This window comes from Homo sapiens, chromosome 8, assembly GCF_000001405.40.
Source record: "Homo sapiens chromosome 8, GRCh38.p14 Primary Assembly".
Taxonomy (NCBI): domain Eukaryota; kingdom Metazoa; phylum Chordata; class Mammalia; order Primates; family Hominidae; genus Homo; species Homo sapiens.
Window position 1 is genome coordinate 59,872,166 of NC_000008.11, and position 7,800 is coordinate 59,879,965.

General features: G+C 38.3%; 1 annotated feature.

The window, feature by feature from the left end:
• Positions 2,743-3,384: an enhancer, noted in NCBI's record as "H3K27ac-H3K4me1 hESC enhancer chr8:60787467-60788108 (GRCh37/hg19 assembly coordinates)". NCBI's record gives its function as "activates a minimal SCP1, AML or CMV promoter by ChIP-STARR-seq in naive H9 embryonic stem cells {active_cell/tissue: H9 hESC(naive)}" and the evidence as "EXISTENCE:reporter gene assay evidence [ECO:0000049][PMID:30033119]".

The following is a 7,800-nucleotide window of genomic DNA, read 5'->3' on the forward strand; positions in this document are numbered from 1 at the left end:
GGATAAGCTTTTTGATGTGCTGCTGGATTCGGTTTGCCAGTATTTTATTGAGGATATTTGCATCAATGTTCATCAAGGATATTGGTCTAAAATTCTCTTTTTTTGGTTATGTGTCTGCTCGGCTTTGGTATCAGGATGATGCAGGCCTCATAAAATGAGTTAGGGAGGATTCCCTCTTTTTCTATTAATTGGAATAGTTTCAGAAGGAATGGTACCAGTTCCTCCTTGTACCTCTGGTAGAATTCGGCTGTGAATCCATCTGGTCCTGGACTCTTTTTTGTTGGTAAGCTATTGATTATTGCCACAATTTCAGAGCCTGTTATTGGTCTATTCAGAGAGTCAACTTCTTCCTGGTTTAGTCTTGGGAGGGTGTATGTGTCAAGGAATTTATCCATTTCTTCTAGATTTTCTAGTTTATTTGCATAGAGGTGTTTGTAGTATTCTCTGATGGTAGTTTGTATTTCTGTGGGATCGGTGGTGATATCCCCTTTATCATTTTTTATTGCGTCTATTTGATTTTTCTCTCTTTTCTTCTTTATTAGTCTTGCTAGTGGTATATCAATTTTGTTGATCCTTTCAAAAAACCAGCTCCTGGATTCATTGATTTTTTGAAGGGTTTTTTGTGTCTCTATTTCCTTCAGTTCTGCTCTGATTTTAGTTATTTCTTGCTTTCTGCTAGCTTTTGAATGTGTTTGCTCTTGCTTTTCTAGTTCTTTTAATTGTGATGTTAGGGTGTCAATTTTGGATCTTTCCTGCTTTCTCTTGTGGGCATTTAGTGCTATAAATTTCCCTCTACGCACTGCTTTGAATGCGTCCCAGAGATTCTGGTATGTTGTGTCTTTGTTCTCATTGGTTTCAAAGAACATCTTTATTTCTGCCTTCATTTCGTTATGTACCCAGTAGTCATTCAAGAGCAGATTGTTCAGTTTCCATGTAGTTGAGCGGCTTTGAGTGGGATTCTTAATCCTGAGTTCTAGTTTGATTGCACTGTGGTCTGAGAGATAGTTTGTTATAATATCTGTTCTTTTACATTTGCTGAGGAGAGCTTTACTTCCAACTATGTGGTCAATTTTGGAATAGGTGTGGTGTGGTGCTGAAAAAAATGTATATTCTGTTGATTTTGGGTGGAGAGTTCTGTAGATGTCTATTAGGTCCGCTTGGTGCAGAGCTGAGTTCAATTCCTGGGTATCCTTGTTGACTTTCTGTCTCGTTGATCTGTCTAATGTTGACAGTGGGGTGTTAAAGTCTCCCATTATTAATGTGTGGGAGTCTAAGTCTCTTTGTAGGTCACTCAGGACTTGCTTTATGAATCTGGGTGCTCCCGTATTGGGTGCATATATATTTAGGATAGTTAGCTCTTCTTGTTGAATTGATCCCTTTACCATTATGTAATGGCCTTCTTTGTCTCTTTTGATCTTTGTTGGTTTAAAGTCTGTTTTATCAGAGACTAGGATTGCAACCCCTGCCTTTTTTTGTTTTCCATTTGCTTGGTAGGTCTTCCTCCATCCTTTTATTTTGAGCCTATGTGTGTCTCTGCACGTGAGATGGGTTTCCTCAATAGAGCACACTGATGGATCTTGACTCTTTATCCAATTTGCCAGTGTGTGTCTTTTAATTGGAGAATTTAGTCCATTTATATTTAAAGTTAATATTGTTATGTGTGAATTTGATCCTGTCATTATGATATTAGCTGGTGATTTTGCTCGTTAGTTGATGCAGTTTCTTCCTGGTCTCGATGGTCTTTACATTTTGGCATGATTTTGCAGTGGCTGGTAGGGGTTGTTCCTTTCCATGTTTAGCACTTCCTTCAGGAGCTCTTTTAGGGCAGGCCTGGTGGTGACAAAATCTCTCAGCATTTGCTTGTCTGTAAAGGATTTTATTTCTCCTTCACTTATGAAGCTTAGTTTGGCTGGATATGAAATTCTGGGTTGAAAATTCTTTTCTTTAAGAATGTTGAATATTGGCCCCCACTCTCTTCTGGCTTGTAGGGTTTCTGCCGAGAGATCTGCTGTTAGTCTGATGGGCTTCCCTTTGAGGGTAACCCGACCTTTCTCTCTGGCTGCCCTTAACATTTTTTCCTTCATTTCAACTTTAGTGAATCTGACAATTATGTGTCTTGGAGTTGCTCTTCTCGAGGAGTATCTTTGTGGCGTTCTCTGTATTTCCTGAATCTGAACGTTGGCCTGCCTTGCTAGATTGGGGAAGTTCTCCTGGATAATATCCTGCAGAGTGTTTTCCAACTTGGTTCCATTGTCCCCGTCACTTTCAGGTACACCAATCAGACGTAGATTTGGTCTTTTCACATAGTCCCATATTTCTTGGAGGCTTTGCTCATTTCTTTTTATTCTTTTTTCTCTAAACTTCCCTTCTCACTTCATTTCATTCATTTCATCTTCCATTGCTGATACCCTTTCTTCCAGTTGATTGCATCGGCTCCTGAGGCTTCTGCATTCTTCACGTAGTTCTCGAGCCTTGGTTTTCAGCTCCATCAGCTCCTTTAAGCACTTCTCTGTATTGGTTATTCTAGTTATACATTCTTCTAAATTTTTTTCAAAGTTTTCAACTTCTTTGCCTTTGGTTTGAATTTCCTCCCGTAGCTCAGAGTAATTTGATCGTCTGAAGCCTTCTCTCAGCTCGTCAAAGTCATTCTCCATCCAGCTTTGTTCTGTTGCTGGTGAGGAACTGCGTTCCTTTGGAGGAGGAGAGACGCTCTGCGTTTTAGAGTTTCCAGTTTTTCTGTTCTGTTTTTTCCCCATCTTTGTGGTTTTATCTACTGTTGGTCTTTGATGATGGTGATGTACAGATGGGTTTTCGGTGTGGATGTCCTTTCTGTTTGTTAGTTTTCCTTCTAACAGAGAGGACCCTCAGCTGCAGGTCTGTTGGAATACCCTGCCGTGTGAGGTGTCAGTGTGTCCCTGCTGGGGGGTGCCTCCCAGTTAGGCTGCTCAGGGGTCAGGGGTCAGGGACCCACTTGAGGAGGCAGTCTGCCTGTTCTCAGATCTCCAGCTGCATGCTGGGAGAACCACTGCTCTCTTCAAAGCTGTCAGACAGGGACATTTAAGTCTGCAGAGGTTACTGCTGTCTTTTTGTTTGTCTGTGCCCTGCCCCCAGAGGTGGAGCCTACAGAGGCAGGCAGGCCTCCTTGAGCTGTGGTGGGCTCCACCCAGTTCCAGCTTCCCGGGGGCTTTGTTTACCTAAGCAAGCCTGGGCAATGGCGGGCGCCCCTCCCCCAGCCTCGCTGATGGCTTGCAGTTTGATCTCAGACTGCTGTGCTAGCAATCAGCGAGATTCCGTGGGCATAGGACCCTCCGAGCCAGGTGTGGGATATAGTCTCGTGGTGCGCCGTTTTTTAAGCTGGTTTGAAAAGCGCAATATTCGGGTGGGAGTGACCCGATTTTCCAGGTGCATCCGTCACCCCTTTCTTTGACTTGGAAAGGGAACTCCCTGACCCCTTGCGCTTCCCAGGTGAGGCAATGCCTCGCCCTGCTTCGGCTCGCGCATGGTGCACGCACCCACTGGCCTGCGCCCACTGTCTGGCACTCCCTAGTGAGATGCACCCGGTACCTCAGATGGAAATGCAGAAATCACCCGTCTTCTGCGTCGCTCACACTGGGAGCTGTAGACCGGAGCTGTTCCTATTCGGCCATCTTGGCTCCTCCCCCCTTTTTGTCCTTTCATCGTTTCTTCTATTTGATGTCATGGTAATTGTCAACTATCATGGCACTAGTGTGAGTGTCACTTAGCATGAAAATTAGGTTATAATGAAGCTGGAGGTTCCACAGAAATCAAGTGAGCCCTCTTGGATTCCACCAGTCTTAGCTATTCTGGTAACAAGAGGGAACTTTTGACCTCAGGCATTCTGCTTCCTAAAGATAACCGGAGTTGAGGTGGGCTAGAAATTCGCCTTGGTCACATAGCTATTGCACTAGATAACATGAAGAGACTAAGTAATCTTCAGAACCACACTCAGATAGGATGTGCCACAAATGTGTGAAATAACAGTTAAGGAATTTAAAATAACCATGATTAATATATTAAGGGATCTAATGGAAAAAGTAGACAAAAGCCAGAACAGATGAGTAATACAAGAAGAGAGGTAGACTCAAAAAAGAATTAAGTACAAGAAATAAAATCTCTGTAATAGAAATGAATGTCTTTAATAAGTAGATTTGACGTGGTCGAAGAAAGACTCATGGAGCCTGAAGATAAATCAATAAAAACATTTTATTTATATGTAACATAATTGTTTATATATGAATTTATCAACAAAAAGAATCAACAAAAATCTTCTAGAACTTATAGGCAATTATAACAAGGTTGTAGGACACAAGGCTAATATTAAAAAGTCAAGTATTTTCTTGTATACCATATTAAATTATATACATATAAAATTGTCTTGCAAGTCGGATAATAGCTCAGCTACAGTACAATACGGCACCAGGCAAAGTCCTGAGGCCTCCATTCCAGGTTTTAGCTCCCAGATGACATTTCTAGACATACCCCGGCCAGAAGGCAACCTGCTTCTTTAAAGGAAAGGGCCCTGTCATGGAAGAATTTTCCACCTGCTGCCTAAAGAGTCCCAGTGGTATTGGTCTCAGGGGTGCTTGTGTCACCCCTCTCATACCTCCAAGCAACTCAACACACAGAGAGAAGGACATTGCTCTTTTGGGGGAATGTAAAAGAAGAGAACAAGAGTCTCTGCCTGATATTCCAGAGAATTCTTCCAGACCTTATGCAAGACCACCAAAGCAGTAAACCTATGAGTCTGCAACAGCCACAGCACTACTGAGATGGAGATGACCCCTAAAGCAGACATGGCTGCAGTAAGCAAAAACATAGATCACAGCGCTGAAATCCCTTCAAATACCTGGAAAAACTCCCAGGAAGGACAGGTACAAACAAGCCCAGACTGTAAAGACTACAGTAAATATCTAATTCTTCAATGCCCAGGTACAGTCGAACATCCACAGGCATCAAGACCATCTAGGAAAACAAGACCTCACTAAACAATCTAAATAAGCAACCAGTGACCAATCCCAGAAAGAAAGAGAATGATGTGACCTTTCAGAAAAATAATCCAAAATAGCTGTTTTGAGGAAGCTCAGTGAAATCTAAGAAAACACGAAGAAGAAGTTCAGAATTCTATCAGATTAATTTCACAAAGAGATTTAAATAATTAATAAGAATGAAGCAGACATTTTGGAGACGAAAAATACAATTGGCATACTGAAGAGTGCTGAAAGGGCTTTTGATTAAATTTAACATTTGTTCATGATAAAAACCCTCAAAAAACTAGACATAGAAGGAGTGTATCTCAACACAATAAAAGCTATATACAATAGACTCACTAATAGTATCATACTAAATAGGGAAAAATTGAAAACTTTTCCTTTATGATCTGGAACAAAATGAGGATGCCCATTTTCACCACTGTTATTCAACATTTTACTGGAAGTTTTAGCTAGAGTAATCAGTCAAGAGAAAAAATAAAAGACATCCAAATTAGAAAGAATGAAGTCAAATTATCTCTGTTTGCAGCTGATACGATCTTATATTTTTAAAAACCCTAAAAACTTGACCAAAAATGTATTGAAATTGATAAACAAATTTAGTTGGATATACAAATTCAGAAGGATATAAAATCAACACACGAAAATTAGTAGCATTTCCATATGCCAGCAGTGAACAATCTGCAAAAGTAATTTAAAAACAGTAATCTTGTTTACGATAGCTACAAATAAAATACCCAGGAATTAAGCTAACCAAAGAAGTGAAAGATCTTTACAATGAAAACTATAAAACATTGATGAAAGAAATTAAAGAGAACATAAAAAATGGAAATATATTCCATGTTCATGGATTGGAAAAATCAATATTGTTAAAATGTCCATACTACCCAAAACAATCTACTGATTTAATGCAATTCCTATCAACATACCAATGACATGGTTCACAGAAAAGGAAAAAAAAATCCTAAAATTTATACTGAGCCACAAATGACCCAAAATAACCAAAGCTAGCCAAAAAAGACTAGTTCTTATTTGTTATTCTCAGCAAAAAGAATTAAACTGGAGGAATCACATTACCTGACTTCAAATTATACTACAGACCTATAGTAACCAAAATGCATGGTACTGGCATAAAAAATAGACACATGAACCAATAGAATAGAATGGAGAATCCAGAAATAAATCCATACATCTACAATGAATTCATTTTTGAGAGAGCTGTCAAGAATTTACATAGGGGAAAAGATAGTCTCTTCAATCAATAGTGCTGGGAAAGCTCAATATCCATATGAAGAAGAGTGAAACTAGATCCCTATCTCTTGCTGTATACAAAAATCAAATCAACATGGGTAAAGATTTATATATAAGACCTCAAAGTATGAAACTACTACAAGAAAACATTGACTAGGGCAAAAATTTGAATAGACATTTCTCAAAATAAGATATACAAATGACAGACATGTAAAAATGCTCAACATCACTGATCATCAGAGAAATGCAAATCAAAACCACAATTAGATATCCTTTTACCCAGTTAAAATGACTTTTAGCCAAAAGATGGACAACAATAAATGCTGACAAGGATGTGAAGAAAAGGGAACACTTGTACACTGTTGATGGGAATGTAAATTAGCACAACCACTATGGAGAGAAGTTTGGTGGTTCCTTAAAAGCTAAAAATAGAACTACCAAATGATTCAGCAGTCTCACCTCTAGGTATTCACTGAAAAGAAAGGAAATCAGTATATTGAAGAGATATCTGCACTCCTACATTTATTGCAGGACTATTTACAATAGTCGAGATCTAGAAGCAACCTAAGTGTCCATCAACAGATGAATGAAGAAAGAAAATTTGGTACATATATACAATGGAGTACTATTCAGCTATATAAAAAAAATGAGATCTTGTCATTCACAATAAAAGGATAGAACTGGAGATCATTATGTTAAATAAAATAAGCCAGGCACAGAAAGACAAACTTCACATGTTCTCATTTGTTTGTAGGTGCTAAAAAAACTAAACCAATTGAACTCACAGAGATCGATAGTAGAATGAGGGTTACCAGAAGTTAGGAAGGGTACTCATGTAGGGTCAGAGAAGTAGGATGGTTAATGTGTGCAAAAATATAGTTAAATGAAATGAATGAAAACTAGTATTTGATAGCACAACAGGGTGACTGTAGTCAACACTAATTTATTGTACCTTTTAGAATAACTAAAGAGTATAATTGTATTGTTTAAAACACAAAGTAAGAATAAATGCTTGAGGTATTGGATACCCCATTTCCCCTGATATGATGATTACTCATTATATGCCTGTATCAAAATATCTTACATACCCCATAAATATATACAACTCCAATGTACCCACAAAAATTAATGATTAAAAATAAATAAATAATAATTTTTTTAAAATGAAGTATTTAGCACATAAATCTAACAAAAGGTGCACAAGATCTATATAGGAAAATACAAAACTCTGATAAAAGAAATCAAATTATATATGTAAATAGAAATATGTTTCATGTTTGTGGACTGGAAAACTTGATATTTGTAAGGTTTTTAAGTTCCGGCAATTACATTTCTGGGTATTTACCCAACTGATTTGAAAACTTATATCCACAGAAAAACCTGCACATGAATGTTTATAGCAGCTTTATATATGATCACAAAAACCTGGAAACAACCAAGATATTTTTCAATAGGCACATGGAAAAAAAAACCTGTAGTACATGCACACAATGGAAAATTATTAAACGATAAAAGTAATGAGCTATAAGCAAGGAGAAAA